The sequence below is a fragment of the Homo sapiens genome, chromosome 4, assembly GCF_000001405.40.
Source record: "Homo sapiens chromosome 4, GRCh38.p14 Primary Assembly".
Classification (NCBI taxonomy): domain Eukaryota; kingdom Metazoa; phylum Chordata; class Mammalia; order Primates; family Hominidae; genus Homo; species Homo sapiens.
The window spans coordinates 166,067,421-166,092,943 of NC_000004.12; the positions used below are offsets into that span (position 1 = coordinate 166,067,421).

Below are 25,523 nucleotides of genomic sequence, written 5' to 3' on the forward strand. Positions count from 1 at the left end.
ATATGCTTCCTTAATTGTTTGAAATACAGCTCTGAAGCCTTGTGCAGAAGATGCTGTTCTCCACCACATGAGCATATATGGTCTTTATTCTTCATCTCTGTGGAACTGTGCTTTGTAAAAGTAACTGAGCACCTTGGTAGTACTTGAGCCAATAACAGGTAATTTGCTGTAAATCATGTTCACTGATGCATACTTAGAACATGGATGATTTCAGAAAATCATCCATGTTTTAAGTATTTATCAGTGCACTTAAAATATATATATATGAATCAATTAACATGACAATAGTTTTCAAAGAGTCTAGCCTAGATTGTTTGATGGAGTATAAGCAGTTAACTAAACTGAACAATGAAGTTCATGAAGAAATTAAACCCCAAAGTTTCATTTCATATTGTTATATTCATATATTTCTATGACAGATGAGGCAGCTGAGGAGTTAAGTAAGCTGCTCAGTGTCACAGAGCATTTAAACCTAGTATCTCTTGGTCCAAAGACCATTCTCTTAACCGTAAGAACTGATCATGACCTTGGCAAATGGCATTAGTTCTTTTCCTTATGACCTGGAAAACAACAGCAGATATAATTTTCCCTTCTTTATTAGATTATTGTTTTGTAAAGTCCAAGACAATTATTATTAAGTATAAATTTTCAGGGTTCACTTTGTGAATCATTGAAAAGTCTTGGCTGTTTTTCAGATTGATATTTAAAATACTGTGGTTCTGGATGAGTGATTAGATCTATTTCACATTTAATTTCCTGGGAGTTTCTGTTAGTGGGAAAGATGTTTGCCCAGGAAAAGGGAAGGTTAAAAACATGTTTGTAATAAATTGCTGTTGTATTATCAAGAGATGGCAGAAAATAAGAATTTAGGTGAATAAATATCCTCATTATGATGATCTTATGAAGTCATAATTTACAAAAGATTATCTAATTTAATTGATGTCTGTTCACATTGCAAATATTAGATTTCTAATAATGCTTTCAGTGTGATAATATATAATCATATGTCAAAAGCCAAGTAATTCACTGTAACTACATTATTATAAAGTAGGTATGTCAACTATAAAGATATTATACTTCACAAACAAAATTGAAGTTTTCTTAAATGCTAAAACTCACTATGGGGGCTTTGATAAACTTCGTTACTGGATTTATTGTCACAAATTCTATAGAAAGAAATTTGGCATAGAAATCAAGAGTCATTAAAATGACTATTCTATTTGCCCCAGAAATCCCATTCATGGGACTTTTTCATCAAGAAATATCTCAAAATCCAGAAGAAGAATTTCAAAATAATATGATAGTGACAGAAATTTGGAGCTACCTAATAATTACGACAACAGGAAAATCGTAAATAAGTTATGGCAAATGCACTTTGTGGACTCTTCTGTGCTACAAAGATGGTTCAGCGATTCCACAGTGTAAAATGTTGTACGTGGTAAAATGTCAGTGGAAATCTAGGCATGAAACAGTGCATGCAGTGTCTACACAGCTAAGCATACAGGTTGGAACAAACCTGAAAGTTGCCATATAAAAATACCAAGAATGCTTGGTTAGGGTGGAAAGACGATGCATTATGGTTTTCTCCATTTTCTTCTCAGTTTTCTTTTAATTTAAATATAAAAATAAATATAAAAGAAAAAACTCCTATCATGTTTCCACCTATTACTGTTAGCCAAGTATTTCTAGTTTGCAAACACTGCCTTATAGACACCTATTTCTTCATTAGTTAATAAGTATTAATACAAGTGTATTTAATTGAGTTAAATTCCCAAAAATTTTATTACAGGCAATCTAATAAAGATGTTAATATATTGTATACATTAATCAAGAGATATTTTATAGACACATAGTCTAAAGTGGTTATGTTTATAGCCAGTGTTCTAAAAATTTCCGAAGTGGTTGTGGCTTTATGAAACCTTAACACAATATAACATGTTCAGCTATTTGTTCCACACTCTTTTTCCAAGAACTTCTAAGAATTTTCAAGGAACTCAATAATAGTAAAAAATAATATTTGGTAATAAGTGATTCTATAGTATTTGGAAAAGAAAGCTATTAAAAATAAAACTCTAGCTTTCTTTCAGTTAAGTGATACATCAGGAAAAAGACAAATATATTTAAGTTTTAACATACAATGAAATAATATATTTATAGTATTATTTTCAACATATCATTGTCTAATAAAATAATTGCATAAGAGATTTTAGCTATCCTTGCACATAGCCTCAGATTTTTAAAACAAACACTTTTTAGATTTAAGAAATAACATTGAAGGGATGTCTCTAAGAACTTTTTAGAGGAATAATTCACATCAGTTCCATGCTCATAAAATTAAGAAACTCTCATCTATCAATTCTGACTAAATATCATAAATGAATCATAAAAATGCTGTAGCTTAAAAATTAAGAAGTCATTGGATTTTATAACAAAATAATTTATAAGCTGCTCTATAAAAATCAGTGTAATATGCTACACTTATTCCAGGGTATATTTAAAGAGCAATACAATGAAGTAATATTAAAGCAAATAAAGAAATTAGGAAGCCAACATAAGACCATTTGGACATTATGTAGAATTATGTGTGTATTCACTTATTTTCAGGTAATTGAGAATATAGTGCCATAGACATTTTCTAGAAGATATATAGTCCAACAATAGATTGGTGTTATTTTCTTCGACTAAATGAGATTTGTTGCTAGATTAACAATAATGATTTCATTTATGTGATAGTAAAAGCAAACTTAATTTTATATGATATATTTGAGCACAAGTCTGCAAGTCTGCATAGGTATACATGATGCAATTTACTTAATTTTAAGTGAGGAAGCAAAGCTAAGAGTATTCCACTCAGAAGAGTTTCTTTTCTTTAAATGAGTTGAGCATAACAGAAATATTAGTTGGACTTTATACCTGAAAAAAATAGCACATTTGGGAACTTGACATATTTTAAATTTTTAATTATAGCATTTATTATTTGGGAATAATATAACAATGACTTCAGGCAATGAGAGTTGAGCATAGGCATTCTGCCTTTTATAGGCAACCCTGTATTAATGAAAAGATTCAGTTATGACTCTGCAATTCTGAGAACAGAAAATGTGAAGAATAATAGCAGTCTCCCTTGGGGAAAAATCTATTAGGAATGTGATCTAACTATTGCTGATAAGCCTAGGGACTTGCTCAAGGACAGAAACGGACTAAAACTCGTTTTCCGACTCCCAGTTCATTTCTGTCTGTAACAAATGGAGGAGTCACTTAAAATAATGTGTGCATTGCAATCTGTCTAGCTCTAAATTCAAGTGATTTCAATTGACATGCTCCTCATCTATCTTTCTTTCACTGTGTCTCGATATTTGTAAGTGTCCTTCTTGTCCACTGTTTCTCTCATGGAATGGTTGTTGATATTTGCAAATGAAATTCGACATGATATTACTCTAACAAAACTTTAAAGTGCTTAATTCCACACAGTAAGACAACTACAACTTTCTTGTATGATTTTGAATCCTGCTTCCAAGTTTTCATCATTATTGAAATTTAAATATTTGCATGTTTATAGAAAGAGAAAATTGTCTCTGTTGTAGCTCTCGTAGTGTTTATTGGTGCTTTTTGTAGGCGATTATTTACTGGATAGTTTTATGTTGGGCCTGTGTGTGCTGTGCATGTGTCCATTTATTTCAGATCCTGAACATTTAATTTGAGAATACCTGCTCTTGTATGTTTCTGTTCTGTTGCATGGACCATTGACTTCTTTTTCCTACAGATAAGGAAGCTTTCTGCAAAGAGAAAATTTTTATTTTTGAATCTTGCAAGAACTTGATACAGGTTGCAACTTCAGTGCCATCCAGTATGTATCATTCATAGACTGATGACCTCTGATAGTCTCAGAGGTTCGCTGCAGGCCTCTGATGGAAGAATACCCTCTTCCTTTTTCCTAATGATGGGCCTTTTCTTTATCTTCCATGAAGGAATGGAAAGCAGACATGTCCATTCCAAAGAAGGGGGCTAATTTCCTTCTGCAGAAAATAAATGCTTTTATTTCTCCTCGATAAAACATTTATTTCTAGCACTAAGTAAAACACTTTTTTTCTTCATTTTGTGTCTAGTGTATGAAAATGCCAGAAAATTTCAAATAAATTATTGATAGAAATTTCAATTATTAAATGTGTTATGCAGACATTATGACAAATGTTTAAATGTCTCTCCTTCTCCCTTTTCTCTTTCCTTGGATTTGTATTCTTGAAAACAGAGTTTTTGTCCTAAGAGCAGAAATAGAAAGTGAAAACAGAAGTTAATTATGTTTGCTAATAGCTTTTTCCCAAGTTTGATGACCTTTTGTAAATAGGAAATCTATAATATATTTGCAGAATTTATCTTTTATGAAGTTGCCATTTCTCATCAACATAAGAAATCCAAAATTGTATTCACTTTAATTAGAATAGTCTATTAACTCCCGTTCAAACAAGTGGTTTTAAAACAACCACACCATATTTACTACTCCGCAGACAAATTAAAATATTTTTCAAAATATAGTGCAAAATACCAAAATTTTTTTAGTCTGCATGATGTAAAACATCTGGATTATTTTGAGTATTCCAATGATTTCCTGAAATTTTCTCTTTTCATATGACTATTTGACACATGGAGGCACAGTTTTACATGCTGCATTTCAGGATATAATAACTTTCTTCTGCTGCCTTTAGATGCTATTTTGATTAGTTCAGTTTTGAATCTTAGCTTAAATTTAGACTAACTCATAAGTATATTCTAGCCGCCTAACAGATAACTTTTCATTTTCATGCACCCTTGATTAAATTATGCTATATCAGATGTGCGAATGAAGGCAGGAAACTCTGATAAGTTGGGAAAGTAAAAAATGACAGATACTTAGAGAATAATGACTATATAAATAATAATAATAACTCTTCTTCTTCCCTTTCTTATACTTGTTCTCTTTCTTTTCCTTCCTCTTCTTTCTTTTCTTTTTCCTTTTGCTCCTCTTCCTCCTCTGCTTTCTCTTCTTCCAAAAATTATTCTGAAATCATTATTATTATTATTTTTAGCACAACAAGAGTATTAATGATTGGCTACAAAATCATTGAAATACAATTGGTTTCATTTTTAATTTTATCTCTCTTTAGTTACTATTACTATAGGTCAGTTTTTTTTTTAACAAATCTTGAAATTAATTATACTCAAAAATATGAGCAAAGGACTTAACCTTTCCACTAGAATGAAGTTTGGATATTAGGGATATTTTATGTTTTGGAATTATTTTTATTATAAAATGACTGGATTTAAACACAGCAATAATGCATGTGTTATTGAATAACACTTGTGTTCACATTTGTATTTTAACATTGTTGTATGTTTCATGCATGGCAATCCAAATAGGTACCAATAAAAGGGTGATTCAGGCCATCTCTGCCTCCACACTGTTCGTCTCTGAGCAGTTCATCTGTTTATTAGTCAATTGCAAATGTGAACTAATTTTCTCTAAGCTGCTTTGCATACAGTTGTTAGGTTTCCAAGCTACTCTCAAAAGCCTGGTTGACCCAGGGTACAACTGAGCTTCACTCTATCGGGTCTTATATTAAGTATACCAAACCATCATTTTATAAACATTTTCAAAGGAAATATGTGTCTATTTCAGAATAATTCTGCCACCAGCATTTTCTTAATTGGTTCTTCCATTTAGCAGAGATAAATTCTACATTCACTCATAAGGAAGCATCTTTCTGAAGCTTCGTAAGGTAAAGAGCCTCTAGAAAGTCAGAGTGAAAAACAAATTCACGCAATTTACTGCTTAACTGTCTGCATTAGAAAATGCAGGCAGCTGATACCATGGTGGTAGGAAGTATCGTTTACTGTCCACCCATTCTGTAGAAGTCATTTATAATTCATAAACTATAATTCTCACTGTTGATACAGCTAATGGAATAGGAGTTCAAAATTATGGTAAATTTCTCTAAAATTAATTTTACAAATCTAATTTTCTATTAACTCCTGATTTTTTCTACATTTCGGTGTTTGATGCTCTTTCACAGAATAATTTTCTTTATTCTGCTTTCATTTTGTTTTGCTTTTTGCTTATTCTCGATAATAAGTGTTGAAAGAATAATGGAAGTGTCAAGGATAGGTGGAGAACACATAAATCACAAATACACTAATTATGATATATTCTTTAAAAACTGAGATTGCCTGTATGTATTTAAAATATTCAGATATTGCCAATGCATTCATATCACCTGTAAGCACATGTGTCATGTAATCCATCTTCAAATGTAACAAAATAGATGTACCTTTAAAAAGTACTATCAGATTCTTTGATGAAAATATCTTCCCTAACCTTTTTCCATGGAATGAATATTGAATTGATAAAAAAGCAAAAATAGAATAATTTCTAGGCCACCAAGAGCTTGCTAGTGCTCACTAGCAAAATCAGCTGAGAGTAACAATTTGAATTCAGCCTAACTCCTCATATGACTGTAACACGTCCTTTTCATTCTCTATGTGTGGGAGTGATGAAAGTCTGAGTGACGTGCCATCATGAATGTGTGTCAGGAGCAATCTGCCAGTTTTGACGTTAATGGACAGGCCAGCTATGGAACGACAGATGAGTGACATAGAGTGATGGTTGATGCCTCACCGAATTGACTGCCTGTTAATCTAGTTTGGCTTTTTTCCCTGTAGTGAATTTGTTGGCTATTTCTTGGGGCTCGTATTTCCTAGTCTAATCTTTACCTTACTTCTAGCACACTAAAAGCCCTTTTAGGGGATGACTTATTAATAAACTTGTCTACCAGAGTAGATTTGTTTAAAATATATAAATTTCATTTCTTCTTTAGAGTAGTTTAATTATGCCTTTTTTCTGCTTGGAGTGCTATGAAATGTCCAAATTCATTAATGCTAAGCATAACTGCAGAGTTAATGGGGAAAAAAATCAACTACAGTAATTATACTGAGTGATTTTTTTAAGTGATTACATACAAATCTTGGAACCTTGTTTAGCCTCTGTCTGTATACCATGGTTAATATATTGAAGGATATCCCTCTACTTAAATGCTATTTCTTGCCGCTATTCAAACTATGCACAATTTTAAATTTATTTTTTTAAATTGGCAATAAATGTTTAGGGTTAATTTGAAAAAAGATCTATTGATTCCCTCTTTCTCCTACCTAAAACTTCTACTCCAGCATAGGAATAAAAGAGGATTACAAGTTATTATCGTAGCGCTAATAGTCTTGGAAACTTGATTCATGGTACAACGCTTCAAGCTAAACAAGGAAAGGGTAAAACTAAGAGATCATACATTTTTGTTTGTTTTATGTTGGGAACAGGAGAAACCATGACTTAGTTTACCCTTTGGCAGTGTTAACCACAACTAAATGACTCCCTTTGATATCCTCTGTTTTTAAAGTTACTTACTAGACTATGGGATTGATCTCTTTGCTAGACAAAGATGAATGCTCTAAGGATAATGGTGGATGTCAGCACGAATGTGTCAACACGATGGGGAGCTACATGTGTCAATGCCGTAATGGATTTGTGCTACATGACAATAAACATGATTGCAAGGAAGGTATGGAACGGAATACACTTTTTTTGACAACATGTAGAATTTCATGTGGTTTGGGTAAAGCACTGCTTCCAAGTAGAGTTAATCATTTCAATGAGTGATATCATGGTGGGCTATCCAAATGTCAAAAAACAAAATTCTGTGTAATGTCCAAAGATCCAAGGCAGATGACTGGATCTGTACTTCGCACATAGATGGCATTAGAGTAGCTTTGTATAGCAGACATAGTAGCTGCTAGGATACCATCTGGTAGCCAGAAAAGCACCAAGTTCTCCCCAGGTCTTTGTGGAACAGACCTTATAACACTATGCATATTTAAACTTAACTTCTGCTAAATGTTTTGCATTTGATGTAATATTCCTCCCAAAAATATCTTGTATATCTTGTGCATGTGCTACATAAGTGATGTCCCTTTAAATACCAGGAGCATCAAACTCAAATGCCTACCAAAGGGAAGACATTTGAAAATGGTAGACACTGTGTCATTTAAAGTTTTAAGTCATGGTTTTGGTCCAGAAAAGCTTAATAGTAGCACAATCATACCCTACCAGATTTCGTCCCCAAGGCCTTACAAAATTCCAAAACTTTTTTAAAGCAGTAATCCTAATCCCCTTAGCCACTATGAACTGGATGAGAACAATAAATAGTTATTCAGCTCTTATTTCTTCCTTTGACAGTCTGTTCCCGAATTTTCTACTTAAATTGGATTTATGCATGTTTTGAGAGGAGAACTACTAAGGCAAATTTTATAACTTTAGTCACCAAATGTACATTGGAAGGTACCTGACTCTAACCACAGTTAGATAAGAATGTTTTGTGTAAACATTGGAATAATAGAGAATATCCTGAGTTGACCCTTGTTCCATTTAGCTCCTTTGAAATATGGTTACATGTCAGGGATTTTCTTTTTTTCATTGAGCTAATTACATTGTGCAGAATCATATACAAACAGGAATTTTTCTTTCTCTGCTTTCATGGATAAGCATAATATCCATAACTTGGTAAGATATGATATACTATTAAATCAATAGATTAGGAAATAGGCCCAGGTTTTTGTGGGTTTTGGGGTTTTCATTTTTGTTCTTGTTTTGAAACAGGGTCTGCCTCTGTCACCGAGGCTGGAATGCAGTGGGGTGATCTCAGCTGATTGCAGCCTTGACCTCCCAGGCTTAAGCAATTCTCCCACTTCAGCCTCCAAAGTAGCTGGGACTACAGGTGCACACCACCATGCCTGGCTAATTTCTGTATTTTTTGTAGAGACGGGTTTTTGCCATGTTGCCCAGGCTGCTCTTGAACTCCTGAGCTCAAGCAATCCACCTGCCACGGCCTCCCAAAGTGCTGGGATCGCAGGCATGAGCCACTGCACTTGGCCCAGGTTTTTATTTTTTGTTTTGCAGACATTGAAGGTCATTCAGAGAAAAAAACAAGACAGCTTTTATAGATTATACATGTAGCCTGTGGATCACAGGTAGCAAATTTGTCTGTTCATTACATAAATGATATAGGAAACTTCATAATAGATAAAACAACATCCAGACGCACTTTCATAAACTTGTCCTATTGCCAGGAAAGGGGTTGGATCATCTTTTACCTTCACTACGGTACATGCTCCTTGTGCAGTTTAGCAATGAGCCTCTCAACCTAGTCTCAGTGTCATCGCCACATCCTGCAGAGTTCACATTTCACATTGTGAGGCAGAGACAGGGACAATGGAATTTAGAAAACCCTTGTCATGACTGGATCCAAACTTTTAAGGCTATGTCTTGCTACCATAATCATAGATTATTAGACAGGAACTGAATTTTACCTTCCACTTTATTGTAATCTTCTGTTGCAAATACAAATCTCCCTGTGGAAACCTAGCACAATTAAGGTGAAGGTCTAGTATTAATGATTGCAGCAGTGGGGGCAGCAGCAACTACAGCAGGTGCACTAACTAATGTTGGGCATGTTACCCTTGCTGTGTGGCCCCGAAGGGTATAACAAGTGTGTTGTCCATTGAATAAAGTATTTCACCAAATATATTGCTCTGGAAATTTTAGAAAGTTATTTGTATTTTAGAATGGGATACACAGTACCTAACAAATAATCCCAGTCTAAACAAGGTTGTATGTTATAGAGCTTCCTAAATTATATAGAAAGAGCACAGCTTGAGGATATTAAATGTTTTTGAAATTTAACATTAACCATGTGGAATGATCTTGTCTAAAATGAGGTTATTTTAATTGTAAAAAAAAAAAAAACCCTTAAGTAATTATACTGATTGAATGAGGTATCCTTTGAAGTTGGTTCAGAAGCATCTCCAGGGCTAGTAGCTGTTCATTTATCATTCCCCTTAGTGCTTCCATTTGCTTTGATAAAATTAGGGCTAATTTATTTTAGAAGCTAAAATTATGATGTAGGTATTCAAGTGTATATTTAACTAAGAGAGAGAGAAAATGTAAATACATGATTCATAAGGTGCCTTAATGATATTAATTAGCTGTAAATGATGTTTCCTTTATAGGAAAAAAATTGAAAATGGCATAGTCCAATGATGTTTGTTTGTGACATTGGATTAAATACACCCAGTGTGGATATTCTCGACTGTCAATATATGTTGCACTGTTAAAGTCTGAGCTACAGACCCATCAGTTTAAAATAAAAGTTCATTTTCTTTTAGGCATTTATCTGATTTATGGTAAATACTTAATTTCATGTGAGGCAGACAACAAACATTGCCTGATTATACTCAGCAACGTATTTTCCAGAGCAGATGAATATAATAACCGACACGGGAGTGAAAATTAGCTGGTATTCAGGAAAATCTTTCAACAGGGCAGTGGGTAAATAGGCTGCTTGCTTTCTGCCTCAAACCTGGGCTGGATTGCCACACTGTCTGATATTATGGTTATTGGTGCAGCTGAGTGTGAACAGAAGATCCACAGTCCAAGTGGCCTCATCACCAGTCCCAACTGGCCAGACAAGTACCCAAGCAGGAAAGAATGCACTTGGGAAATCAGCGCCACTCCTGGCCACCGAATCAAATTAGTAAGTGAGCACATCCTTTTTCTTTCCATTAAGCTGACTGCCCTTGTCTTTCACTACAAGCACTTGGAAATAAAATGGAGGTTTATCTAATTGAATCGAATCGTAGGCAGCTGGAAAAGATTTTTTGTCTCATGCTTTCCTACTTGCACTAAAATCCTTGACTTCCTAGATCAAGGTGACTGCCACGTTGTTCTCCTCTAGGGTTTCTTATCCTGGATGTTTTAAAAGGCATTACCAAAGTTGCTGCAAAACAGTAGTCTTTACTTCCTAATGTATTACTGGTAATTATATTTCCAAATTTGGAAAATAAACGATGGAACAAAAAAATCGGAATTTGCCAGAAAGCGATAGAATAATATTTCACTTAAACCCGGCATAACATATTCTACTGGTTATGCCAATTGCATATACATACGTATTTTTCATAATAGAATCAATTTTGTCTTGTGGTTTACAGAATATTATTTTTGCATGATGTATTGCCCTCTGTACAAAGATCCTGATTTCCTTAGATTTTGCCCACATTTTATTCGGCATGAGTAATTCAAATATGAGTATAATGTCTCATCTCTCCTGCATTCTTTGCATTCTGCATTCTGGCCTGGTCATAAATAATAACCTGATAATAAATGTTAAATTTCATTATAGGCCACAGAGTGTTTAAACAGTATAATCTAAAGAAATAAAATTATAGAATGTAGAAATGTTAACAATTTCCTGCAATATGTTGTTTTTAGAAGCAGAAGGCAGTGCCAACTAACAAGGCTCAGGAAAGAGCCTAGCAGGCACTATAATATCAAAAATTGTCTGAGGAGTGAGACTACCAGTCCAAGGTAGCTCACTAGATCAGTCCAATCATAAGCTTAATTTTTAAATTTCTTGTTTTGACTCTTCCCTTCAGTGAATATTATTGGCCAATAAAAAGGCCTTATTTATGTACAACATTATAATAAAATCAGAGACAGTCACCAAGAAATTCATATTCTTAGTATGGAGGTCCTTCCAATCTCTATACTTGTAAGTGACTTCCCAGACAGAGTTATCAATTCATTTCAGCCACACTGTTGAAGGATACTAAATGCTGAAATGACAGCACTAGAGGAACTCAACTGCTCTCCAGTCCTGTCCAAGGTCCTGATTGAGAGGATGATTCCCTGAACCTTATGGTAGCTTCCTGAGCCTTATGGGCTGAAATATAGAGGCTGCATTCTTTTAAGGCGTTCATTTTCTTAAGAGAGTTGGAAAAATTGATTTTCGTGGAGACATTTCTTTGTCTCAATCCAAATTTTTTTTGGGTATCATATTCTTTCTGAAGAATTTATTTTTATATTTTGTATAAAGTATGTGCATTAGCACTTTTGAAAGCTGTTTTCATTGCATATAGAATTCTAGGATGACAGTTTTCTTTCTCCATCTTGAATGATTCCATTTTTTTTCTGGTTTACATAGTTTTCCATACTTCTTTTGTAAATCTTATCTTTATTTCTGTGTTAAGTCGTAATTCTTTTTCCTATGGCTGCCTTCAAAATTTTCTTTTTATCAGCAATTTGAATATAGTGTATGCAGGTGTATGTGTTTGTGTGTGTGTATATTTCTGTTTAGTAATTTTTTGGTATTTTTCCTTCTCAGAATTCTCTGAATTTCTTACATCTGTATTGTGGGGTCTGTCATTAATTTTTGAAAATTCTCAATTGTTATTTCTTCATATAATTCATCTGTGCCATTGTCTGTCTTCTGGGATTCAAATTACTTATGGGCTAGATTGTTTGCTGTTATTCCTCAACTCTTGGATATTCAGTTCATTTTTTGCCCTTCTTTCTGAGTTTAAGTTTCAGTAATTTCTATTGACCTGTCTTCAAATTCAGTAATTATTTCTTTGGCTGTCTCGAATCTACTGATGAATTTGTCAAAAGCATTCTTTATCTCTATTACCATGTTCTTTATTGCTAGCACTTACATTTCACTTATTATAGTTTCCATTTGTGGTAGTCTGTTTGGGCCGCCATAACAGATTATCACAGACTTATGGCTTAAATGACAGAAATTTATTTTCTCATAGTTCTGGAGGCTAGAGGTCCAAGATTAAGTTGGACTTAACAAGGGTTAGTGTCTGGTGAGGCCTCTCTTTCTGGCTTGTATATGGCCTCCACCTCACTGTATCCTCACATGGTATTTTCTTTGTGTATTCATAGAGAGAGACAGAGCTCCAGTGTCTCTTACTCTTCTTATAAGAATACCAGCCCTATAGGATTAGGGCTGCATCCCTATGGTTTATTTAACCTTAATTACCTCCCTAAACATATCACATTGGGGGTTCGGACTTCAACATTAATTTTAGAAAAACAAAATTCAATCCATAACACCATTTATCTGCTGAAATCTCCCATCTGTTCTTGCATATTCTCTACATCTTCACTAGAACCTTTAACTTATCAATGTTAAATTCGTAGTTCCTTTAAATTCCATTTGATATAAACATAGGGGCCATGTGCTCGAGTCTGTTCTGTTGATTGTTTTGTCTCTTAGCAGTGTTGTTTTTATTTTTCTTGCCTTTTTGTGTCTCTTTTTTTATTAAAATAAGACATTATGTATGCAATAATAGAGACTTTATGTCTGGAAACGGATGCATCTCTTGTGTTAGGTTATTAGTGTATTTATGTGTATGAAGGAGGGTGTTAGGTGGATCTAATCAGGAATTAAGCCAAGATTGGGTTTTCTTGCCCTATTATTATCTTCATTGCACCACTGGCTTCAAATTCCTTTTTCTTAGGGTGGAGGCTGGGATTTAAGAGGTGTTTTCTCAATGCTTCTATTTTACCCTTACCTTCTCTGTTCATCCCCAGTGCAAATATTGTTCCTCTCCACCCTTTTTTGTCTTTATCAGTGGTAGGTGGCAGTTGCTTGTTACTTGGTGCTTGTTAGTCTGGTGGTGAAGGCGAGGGGTTCTTTATTATTTCAGTACAGACTCCACCTTAGGCAGGCCCTGCATGTTCAGGTCTTGGTGTTGAGCTTTCTCAGTGATCCTATTTCTTCTCTTCATGGCAGTGAAACTCTGTCTATATATCTTATGAGTCTTCCATGGGAGAGAGTTTCTTTTCAGTCTCCTAGTGGTAGAAGATCTCTAATATTACTGGCATTTGATCCTGAATCCAGGACTTCCCCTAGGGGTAGTAGGTTTTGTTTTTGGTTTTATTTTGTTTTGTCTGTTTTGTTTTAACATTTCCTCTGCCTCCAGTGGGTCTGTACCTTTGTCGTAGGGGTGGCAGGGTTTTCTGCTTCTCCTTCAGAGGCTTACAGCTGTGTTTTCTGAAGAAGGATTACAATGAGGCTTCAGACTTTTCTCATGGCAGTGACCACTTCCCTTTCTCAAGCCTGAAACACCAAGGAAGGCACTCATGCACCTCCTGCTTTTTCCACAAATGTTCTTGTGAGCAGGAGATGGAGGTCCATGGAAAAGGATCTGTAAGTGTGTGCAAGCTCCCCTCGTATCTGCAGTTTCCGTTAGTTCTATCCTCTTCTCCTCATCCACACATGACCTTCACCAACCCATCACCAATTTTATCAGAATGCTTTTCACCTGGCTGTATGATACCAACATCTCTTCCTCTTGTAGTCTGCCACTATCACATCTTTCCTTGGAAGGACCTGACATTCAGTAGACTTCAGACTACTGTGATTTCCATACATTGATGTGTTCAATCAAAGTTGTTATTTTTTTTTTTTTACACTCTACATCATGGCTTTTTCTTGTTGTCAGGGTAGAAGCAAAACTAGTTCCAGCTTTCTATATCCAAGGGGAAGTAGAACTCCTGATATACCCCGGTTTTAAAAATAGCAATACTCAATCCATTCTCAATTATATATCTTTCAGCTTGAAACATCCCATCTAACTCTAGGGCAATCTGTTCCTTCACACATTGCAGGATTTATTTTTCTTGCCAATATTCGACTTGAGAATTAGGACATAAAGCATGTCTGTTCAACAATGGTCATACCTGCTGGTATCCTAAGAAGGTAATATTCAGAAGCAAAATGAGAGCTTTCACACAGTATTAAACTTTATTTTAGGAATTGGAGTTTGTGTTTTTTGTGGAAGTAAGTACAGTGTAAGCCAGGTTTTTTCAAATGCTAGCATGTGTCAGAATTACCTGGAAGGCTTGTGAAAAGACGCATTGCTGCCACACCAGAACTTCTGATTCAGAGCATAATATTGACTCCTACCATCCTATCCCATGGATCATATTCATATAAAACCTGACTCTCAATATCATCCTAAGAGCCAGGGTTAGTAGAAAGTGTGTCACAAAGGATTAGCCACCAACTCCAAGTAACATTTTTGTTCTATATTTTTTAACTCTTGCCATTTTGACATTATAATTGCTTGTGTTTCCCCGATTGACTTTCTGCATGTAATGTAACTGTTATCTAGTGTTATCTACTTTAAAACTGAAATCACTATTATTGCGTATATCAGCCAATAGTCATTTAGTGAACAATACTTTATAATAACAGTTCAAACCATTCAATCATCTACTCGTGTACTTTGACATTTATAATACAGGAAATTTCATCAAGATGTTACAATGCGCAAAATAAAAGCATTTTGCCTGATTTCTTTAGGATCTTTAACTTTTTTGTTTTTGTTTTGTTTCGTTTGTTTTTTTGGAGGTGGAGTCTCGCTCTGTCACCCAGGCTGGAGAGCAATGGCGCAATCTCAGCTCACTGCAACCTCTAACTCCCAGATTCAAGCAATTCTCCTGCCTCAGCCTCCCGAGTAGCTGGAATTACAGGCGCCTGCCACCACCCCTGGCTAATTTTTGTATTTTTGTAGAGTCAGCGTTTTGCTATGTTGGCCAGGCTGGTCTCGAACTCCTGACCTCAGGTGATCTGCCTGCCTCAACCTCCCAAAATGCTGGGATTACAGGAGTGAGCCACCGTGCCCTGCTAGGTGGAAGAATTTCAACCAAAACTGTAATTTAGAAAACAGTTTCAATGAAACTTGAGAAATTATGAAATATTTTAATCTTCTTAGGTCAAGAACTCCTGATAGATACTTGGTTACCAACTGGCTTCATTATGGGCAAGGGCAGCGATGAAAGGCAAATAAAACACTTGGGTCCCTATGTATACAGTGGAACTTTCTTCACAGTTCATGGATTGATACCCCTTTTTCTTTAGGCAGGGTGGGAAAATAAGAAAGAAAGAATTTTTTTTCTTTTTTAAATTTATGTTCTCATTGACAGATAAAATTGCATGTATTTACCATGTACAATGTGATATATTGAAGTATATGTACATTGTTTAATGACTAAATTTAGCTAATTAATATATGTATTATTCATGTTTTGATCATATTTGTGGGGAAAAAACACTTAACATCCACTATCTTAGCATTTTTAAGAGTATATTATTAACTATAAGTCACCATGTTGTATGATAGTTCTATTGAATTTATTCCTTCCATCTAACTGAAATTTTGTATTTTTTGACTGACATCTACTCAACCCTTTCCCATCTCAACCACCCTAGCCTTTGGTCAACACCATTCAACTCTCTGCTTCTTTAAGTTTGATCATTTTAGATTCCACATGTAAGTGTGACCATGTAGTATTTATCTTTCTGTGCCTGGCTTGCTTTATTTAACATAATGTCCTGCGGTTTCACCCATGTTGTTACAAATGACAAGATTTCCTTCATTTTGTGGCTGAATATTCCTCCACTGTGTATATATACCACATTTTGTAATCCGTTCATCCACTGATGGACACTTAGGTTCATTCCGTATCTTGGCTATTGTGAATAGTGCTGCAGTGAACATGGGAGCAACAGACATTCCTTCAACATCCTGATTTCATTTCTTTTTGATATATACCCAGTAGTGAAATTGCTGGACCATAGAGTAATTCTATTTTTAACTTTTCGAGGAGACTCCATACTTTTTTCTGATGGCTGTACTAATTTACATTCCCAACAACAGTATGCAAGGATTCCCTTTTCTCCACATCCTCACCAACACTCGTTATCTTTTGTGTTTATGATAATAGTCATTCTAGCAGGCGTGGGGTGATATCTCATTTTGGTTTTGATTTGCATTTTCTGGATGGTTAGTGATGTTGAGCATTTTTTCAAATACCTGTTGGTTATTTGTGTCTTTTCTTTTGAGAAATGTCTATTCAAGTCCTTTGCCCATAAATAAGTTTATTCGTTTCCTTGTTATTGAGTTGTTTGAGTTCCTTTTATATTTTGGATATTAGCCTGGTATCAGATGTATGGTTCATAAATATTTTCTCCTATTCTGTAGGTTGTCTTTCCACTCTGTTGATTGCTCCCTTTCCTGTACAGAAGCTTTTTAGTTTGATGTAATCTCATTTGTCTATTTTTGCTTTCATCGTCTGTGTTTTTGGAGTGAAATCCAAAAAGTCATTGCCCAGACCAATGTCATGGAACTTTTCCCTATGTTTTCCTCTAGTAGTTTCATAGTTTTGAATCTTATATTTACGTCTTTAATTCATTTAGAATTGGTTTTTCAATATGGCGTGACATATGGGTCTAATGTTATTCTTCTGCATGTGGATATCCAGTTTTCCCAATGCCATTAGAGGAGACTGTCCTTTCCCTATTGTGTGTTCTTGGCATCTTTGTCAAAAATCAGTTGGCTGTAAATGTGTGGATTTATTTCTGGACTCACTATTCTGTTTTATCAGTTTATGTGCCTGTTTTTATGCCAGTATTACGCTGTTTCGGTTACAATAGCTTTGTAGTGTATTTTGATATCAGGTATTAGGATGATTCTAACTTTGGTTTTTTTGTTCTTAGGTTTTTGTTTTGTTCAAGATTGCTTTGGCTATGCAGTCTTTTTATGGTTCCATACACATTTTAGTGTTTTTTTTTCTATTCCTGTGAAAAAATGTTATTTGTGTTTTCTTTCATCAATGTTTTATAGTTTTCAGTGTAGAGATTTCCACTTACTGGGTTAAATTTATTTCAAAGTATTTTAATTTTTGGAGCTGTTGTAAATGGTATTGTTTTATTGATTTCTTTTTCAGATAGTTTATTGCTAGTAAATAAGAATGCTACTGATTTTTGCCTATTGATTTTATATCTTGCAACTTTACTGAATTTATTTATTACTTTCTAATAGGTTTCTGGTGGAGTCTTCAGAGTTTTCTCCGCATGAGATTGTGTCTTCTGCAAACAGGGATAATTTAACTTTTTTTTTTTTTCAATTTGGATGCCTTTTCTTTCTATGGCCTAATTGTTCTGTCTAGGACCTCCGGTACTATACTGAATAGAAGTGGTGAGAGTGGGCATCCTTGTCTTATTTCAGATCTTAGAGGAAAAGCTTTCAGCTTTTCTCGGTTGACTATAATGTTAGCTGTGAGTTTGTCATACATAGTCTTTATTGTGTTGTTGCACATTCTTTATATGCCTAATTTGTTGAGAGGTTTTTTTTTTATCATGAAAGGATGTTGAATTTGCCAAATGCTTTTTTCTATTAATATGATCAGATCATTTTTGTCCTTCATTCTGTTAATGTCGTGCATCACATTTATAGATCTGTGTATGTTGAACCATCCTTGCATCCTTGGGATGAATCCCACTTTATCATAGTGAATGATCTTTTCAATGTGCTGTTGAATTCTGTTTGCTAGTATTTTGTTGAAGGCTTTTCATCTATGTTCATTAGTGATACTGGTCTTCAGGTTTTTTGTTGCTGTTGTTGGGTAATTGTCTGGTTTTGGTATAAGGATAGCACAAGATTTCTACATGTTCCCTATTCAGTTTAGAAGCAAGGAAAAGAAAATTGTCACTGAAGACAATTTTATGAGACAATTTTTTAAATCGTAGTTTATGAATTTTGAAAGCCTACTGTACTTTCTAATCCAAATTGTTCTCTAATTTGATATATGGTTTCACCGAGTGACATGTAGGTAGTGGCTGATAGGTATAAACAAGCTTTCTTTCACTGTGTCTGAGATAACAATTATTTTGGTTAATTTGGGTTATAAGACTATAAGCTCAAAAAGATATTTAGATGATCTAGCAGTTATAGATAATAGGAATTACAATAAAATTCCTATGTGCCCTTTGTGAGATAGGAGCATTTGTGTGCATGGTGTTCATTCACCGTATGTATATTCACTTTACAGTATGATTATTTAAATATAATATATATTACTGTACATTAATATGAGAACTGAACTATCAGAGTCAGTTTATTATAGATTTTTATCGAGACTTAGGCATTATAATGCAGTTATTACCTTTTATGGACTGTTCTAGTTATCTACTGCTGCATAGCAAATTATCCCAAAACCTCATGGCTTAAAATGAGCACTGTTATATCTCATAGTATGAGGGAGTGGCATCAGTATTTAAGTAGTACTTTGCTGGTAACTTTTCTGTTGCATGTGACATTGATTGATTCACCTGGGAGCATATGTAAAGGGTCAAGGTGGTTGCAATTGTATGTCTGTCATCTTGATGTGGAGGGCTAAAAGGCTGACTCAGCTGGGACAACCATAGCACCTACACATGACCGTTGCAACATGGCGGTCTCAAAGGAACCAGACTCTTTTCTGTCAATCCTGGATCCCCAAAGTGTCCCAAGAGGCCATGGAAGCCTCAGAAGCCCTTGAATGTAACTTTCGGAACATTCTGTTGGTAAAGCAAATCGCTAAGTCTGGCCAGGATTCAAAGGGAGGAGAATTAGACTAGAAACACACAACCTTGCCTTCCCAATTTAGACTACTGACCTCCACAGCTGTAGAAGAATAAATTTGTGTTGTTTTAAGGCATTAAATGTTTGGCAGTCTGCTACAGCCAAGACACACAAAAAACACATTTGCTTTGTTTTTATTATGCGTGTGTGTGTTTATTTAAGCATGAGGTACTGACTGCATGATTATAGCTTTAAAATACAAAGAAATTGCAGTCAAAAGATGCTTGGGGAAAAAAAAGTCTTCTTGCTAGAAAAGGGACAAAGTTCTAAATGTGTAAGTACAAGTATCTGTTATCCCTGTTTTTATCCTGTCTTGGTTCTGAAAGACTCTGATCATTAAATTTGAGGGTACCTTTTTACCTTTTGAATTAATGTTCATTCAAAACAAAATACAAACAAACAAAGTTCTAGGCATCCAAGCATACTTCAATAAGCTAATGTGCTTCTATCATTTTTAGTTGATTTATCATATCCTTGAGTTTTGGAGTTCTGCTATATAACATACAGTTACAAGTTATAGCTTTATATATGGGATATTTAAAAAACAAAAACATCTACAACTGTTAAATAATTATCCATCATAAATCCATAAAAATATATTTGATCACAGTTATAGAGGACTCATGGAGAAAAAAGGTTCTTTTGAATCAGGAGACTGAGGTTTGTACTCCATGACGCCATTTTTTTCCAGTGGCCTCTAATCCTTCAAATATTTTGTGGGAAACCAAATGCCAGCTTTTACCAAAAACAGGATAAGGTGAAAGATGGCTGGGACTGGGGACCTCTAAAGCTTATCTTACAGTTGCTCAAATTGCATCAGTCTCTTTACTTCTTTTAGTTTAAATGTTCACCCTTGCTAAATTTTATTTCTGCATTAAGTGCTATCATTTTACTATCTTGTCCTTTGTGAATATATGCAGTTACTCTGTAAGGCCTCATTCTTTAGCTATTGCCTGTATGTTCAATAAAAGAACCTCTACAGATGTTCATATGAGAGAACAGCGTCTGGAAGCCTGGCCAGGGGCCAGCCAGGTAGATTAGGCTTGCTTGGGTGTTCCAGAAATAAAGTTATTATTTCCACAGCCTATAACGAGAGTTCAATTTTATTTCTTTTGAATTGGACTCCTTAATCTCTTAGCTTGCTTGTCTTGTGGGAAATGCATTAGGATTTCTGACTAGGGCCCATGGTTATTCACTTTATTTTTGGCCTTTCTAAAACCCAGATTAGTAACCCTGAAATTATAGAAATATAATCATGGAATGAGTATGCTTTAAAGTTTTTTAATACCCAAATACTTATAAAGTCTTAAACACTTAAGAAAAATATTTAAGTCTACCAAAGGAAGATAGTGCTTGAGTGGAAATCCAAGTTCCTTACAGCTTTATACATTCAGCCTTGCTGGCTATCCTGTCTCCATTGTGAACTTCCAAGACTTTTCGGGAAACTAAGTGTCTTCTGGGGACATTTCTGCGGCATTGGTTCCTGGTGGTTGGAAATGTGCACATTCTTTATTATTTAGATATTGAGATTCATGGTTCAGCTTGTGTTGTAGAATAAAGTGATAAATGGCATATCACACCTTGTCATCATGAACTCTGAAAAATATTTTAGAAGTTTTTCCTTTCCGAAGAGTTCCTATAATACATTTCTATGGCCTGGAAATATTTTCTGTTGATGTAAAGTCACTGTGTATGGAAGGTTCTCTGTGTGGGTATCTTTACTATACAAGGGACAGACTTCCGAGATCTCAGCCTGTGAATTAGTCACACCTTTGCTTGTGTGTGGTGGAGCTTTTAGTTCAGGCTGATTTCTGGAAAAGGACCACCCAGCCTTGGCATTTGACCTAACAAGTTGCTACCTATTCCAAAAAGAAAATTCATTAATACCTTAATGAATGAGAGTTGTCTGCATTACTAGAGTATATGTCAGCTATGGAACCTTTGACTAATATGACTCTTACAGACTCAGTCTGATTCCACCAGTAATTTGATAAAGAGCTGTAGCCAGTTGGCACCAGACCAGCTGTCAGTATGGCCCCCAGCACACCAGCTCAATGCTACTTTGTGTGGTGTTGCTCCGTTCTGTTAAGCAGATGTTATGATTTAGGCCAGACGTCCTGCGTTTCATTAGGAAGAAAAATAGTCACCTATTTATCTCATTCATTCAGTCTTCAATGGACCAATCAACGGACTGAACATGTGTGGTCTGTAAACTCTGATTCCAGCTTTAGCCATTACTTATAGCAAATACTTTAGAATGCCACTACCTCCAACTTTCTTAAAATACTCTCTTCTATGCAGCAGGTTTCCCTGGTTCTTTGCTCTTTATATTTACAGATTAGTGACTTTAAATCACAATCAAAAGAGATACTTGCTCAACATGCAGTGGTTTTCAGATATTCTTTTCCTGAACCAATGTTTTTCCTCTTGAAATAACATTATATTTATAATTCAGAAGCTTAGTTTCATATTTAGTAAAGAACTCTAGGTGCGGTTAAGCCAATTTTCTCATAGTGGTTTCCTATCAATTACAAACTGATGTTAGGAGTGTATATATGTACACAATGGTAATAGAAGCAGACTGCTATTTCATGAGAGGCAGAAAATGAGATTTAGTAGGCCCTGTCTGTAGAATTTTCATACTTGAGGTTGGCCATAAACGTCAGCTAGGTTTTTGGGTAAATACATTGACAGGTTTATGCAAACATCCATATACTTATTCAGAATCTTCTGCATCCTACGCAATGTGTGTACTCCACTGGGTTACAGAGATTAACAAGTGACACATTCCTTCAGTTATCACCTGCTTTGCATGTTGTGCTTCAGGATAAATAGACTCTACTGATGTCTCCTTGTTCACTGTATTTCCCTACGCTGTCTTCTCTTTCCAGTGAGATTCTTTGTGGTATGTTCAGTCTTTTTGTACTAGCCAGTATCTTTGATCAAATGAAGTAAGCCTTCCTTTTCATCCATAATGATTATAACAAACAATTACTCTAATGCTTATTGGTTATAATTTTTTTTATTTCTACTTTTTAAGTAGAGTGCAGTGGAAAGAGACAAAAGAGAGATCAGCTTTTTTTCCCCCTTTTCTTTCTTCCGTTAAGTAACTCCATTCCTTTCTTCTACTCCCTAGTTAATATGAATTGTTTATTTCATTTCTTTCCTCACTCCTCCGAAGTCAGAAGTGATAGTGGGTGATGTAGTGTGGTATGGAATAGACAGTGGATTCACACTGAGACAGAGCAATTTTTAGTCTCTTTTGTTTTGTATGTCTTCAATTAGACTGAACATTATGATCACTTCAGTAAAACTGTATCAAAGAAAATAAGTATATTAAAATTTATGTGCCAATATTTTGTTGGAGGGATTATAGCAAATTAACAAAGTTTGAAATATATTTCATACTTTTTCATGTTTATTTGCTTTATAATATTTTAGTTTTCTTCTATAGACTTAAGTAGGAATGGCGGCTTTATTTCTTCAATGTATGATGGTTTTTCTGGGGAAAGGAAAGAGCCTTTGGCAATGGCAAATAACCTGTAATTTATGTAATTATTAATAGCTTGGACAATATTATTTTCAGTCCATCTCAATTAAACTTTGCTTTGTGATCTGTAGTGTGTTATACATTTAATTATTTTTTATTTTAAATGTGCTAAGTCACACAGATGAAAATTACAACACAGGTAAATTAGAATAGTTTTTAAATGTCATAAATAAGAGCAAAGCATTCAAACTCTCCAAGATGTCCAATATTAAAATAAGTGTACCATCTACATGAAAAGTAAATTAAAAATATTCTAGCATTAAGTATTATCAGTGTTTGCTAATGATATGGTTTGTAAGAGCTAAATAAACAAATATATAGTGAAAATTATTCTCCTTTCATTTATGCTATGAAGATTTGTTGCATTTAAGTTTTGTAAAAATATAATAATACTTTATTGAGTTTAGTTTAAGTGCCTAAGGGTAGGATAATGTTCAACGGGTTCTATGATTATCAAACCCAGAAGGACCCAATCTTTTAATATGATTGTTTGAAATTTTCTGATGAATCCTTTGGATTAAATTCAGAATAAAATACCATTTTTTATATTCTGTTTAAATTCTGAGATTGAATTGCAATAGTAGAATTGGTTTTAATAGCCAAATAGTGGAATTTCATATGAAGTTATTACATTGTTTTCCTCATTGTGTCTTTTTAGAGATTACATATTTTATTGATTTCACCTTTCTTAATTATGCTGTAAATGTGTTAAATTATTAGTATGCCCTGAACATATTTTATTGATATGTATTTCTGTCCCAAAAATTATCTCATTTTGAGTGATTTGTTTTTTTTTAAAAAAATTATTTCTTCTTTTTAAAAAAGGCCTTTAGTGAATTTGAGATTGAGCAGCATCAAGAATGTGCTTATGACCACTTAGAAGTATTTGATGGAGAAACAGAAAAGTCACCGATTCTTGGACGACTGTGTGGCAACAAGATACCAGATCCCCTTGTGGCTACTGGAAATAAAATGTTTGTTCGGTTTGTTTCTGATGCATCTGTTCAAAGAAAAGGCTTTCAAGCTACACATTCTACAGGTCAGCAAATTCAAGTCATGCTTCTCTTTTTTGACTGAGATCCAGGTTTTTCTTCTGGTGAATTTGGTTCAATAATAGGATTGTAAATAAATCTCCAAGCATAGCAGATAAAATTTCACTGAAGCACTTTGTGAAATATTTGCAGAACCATACAGCATCCTACCTAAAGATCTTTGCAGTTGTTGAGTTTTAGGAAAACCCTAGTTTCTGTCTGATTTGTGATCAGTGCAGTTTGTTTAAGTAGAACAGTGCAGTTTGTTTAAGTAGAACTGTACCTAAATATTTATACAATGTATTTCATATTAACATTAGCAGTTTGATTTACATGTTATATTTAACAGATAGAAATCTATGGCTTGTTATTAAAAATGTGTGTTTTATCTAATAACCTATCTGATTAGCTAGATTTTACATTAATATATTTTTATAAATAAGTTTAAGACTGATCTATTTGACAGAGCCTCTATTTTTCCTTTGTTTATTTGGTATGCAACATGATCTTTTGCCTAATCCTACTCTCTAATTTACTCTTACAGATTTCGACTAACTGCTCTGGAAATCTTAAAGAAATAGAATTTAATTTAGAAAAATATGAAAAATTTTAGACAAAAATATAGAGTAACATTACTTATAGTTTGGAGACAGTTTAGTTATATGTTCCATAAAATATCTAGAGAATGTGCCCTTTTCATTCAGTTAAGACAGTATATCAGTTAAATGTATATTAGCTAGTCATTTAGCTTATACTGACACCTAGTGGCATTGCTGATGCATAAACGATTGATACACGGGAGAAATTTGCCTTGGTGGAAAACACAGTATAAAAACAATACAAATTCATCCATGAAATAATTTTAGTGAAATTTTGTCATGAATTTCTGCAGATTGTTTTTATTCTTTCACTTGATTTTGTAATTCATAATTTTAACTATTCCATTATCCAACATTATTTTTCATTCTAGTATATTTTATTATGAGCATTAGATTTATATTGAAGTCTGTGATAAAGATATTGTCAGGATACTAATCTGATTAATAATAGTAATCATTGGTCTTCTATCAATAATGCAAATTAATTGCTTCTTATGATTAATATAAATATAAATATTATGGCATGAGGAAAATCTTACATGGACCAGAGAAATGTCAGGCTAATGAGAGATTTTCCACACATTTGACATTTACTCTTTGAATATTTTTCTTATAACTTGTCACCTAATGAAGGGGTGGAAAAATAAAATCCTATTACTTAATCAATATTTCACTGATAGCGCAGAGTTCATCAGATTTTAGAAAATATCGTCATCATAGGTTCCAAGAAGGTAGTGTGAAAATATACTGTCAAAACTGTTTAAATAGCTGATGATATAGTATTTTAAGATTATGTATTTTTTCTTAGTTTTATAAAAACTTACTTTTATACTGTCTCTTTTTACCCCTTGTAAGTGGGATAACTGAGGTTCCATTATGTCCCAGTGTGTTGGTACATCTGGGTTCCTGCTACAAGTGAACCCTTAACTAGCAGGAAACTTTTGAAAAGATCATTTCTTCAGATCTCAGTTTTCTCATCTGTAAAATAATACTCCCAAGGTTACTTACAGC

General features: G+C 34.2%; 1 protein-coding gene across 1 annotated transcript in view; it reads left to right on the forward strand.

Annotated features, from left to right (window-relative positions):
• Positions 1–25,523, forward strand: part of TLL1 (tolloid like 1) — a 231,221-nt gene that overhangs the window by 194,184 nt on the left and 11,514 nt on the right. Inside the window, exons 17-19 of the mRNA NM_012464.5 lie at positions 7,458–7,583; positions 10,483–10,610; positions 23,708–23,921. Of these exons, the coding sequence (NP_036596.3) occupies positions 7,458–7,583; positions 10,483–10,610; positions 23,708–23,921 (468 nt within the window). The remainder of the gene's footprint in view (positions 1–7,457; positions 7,584–10,482; positions 10,611–23,707; positions 23,922–25,523) is intronic.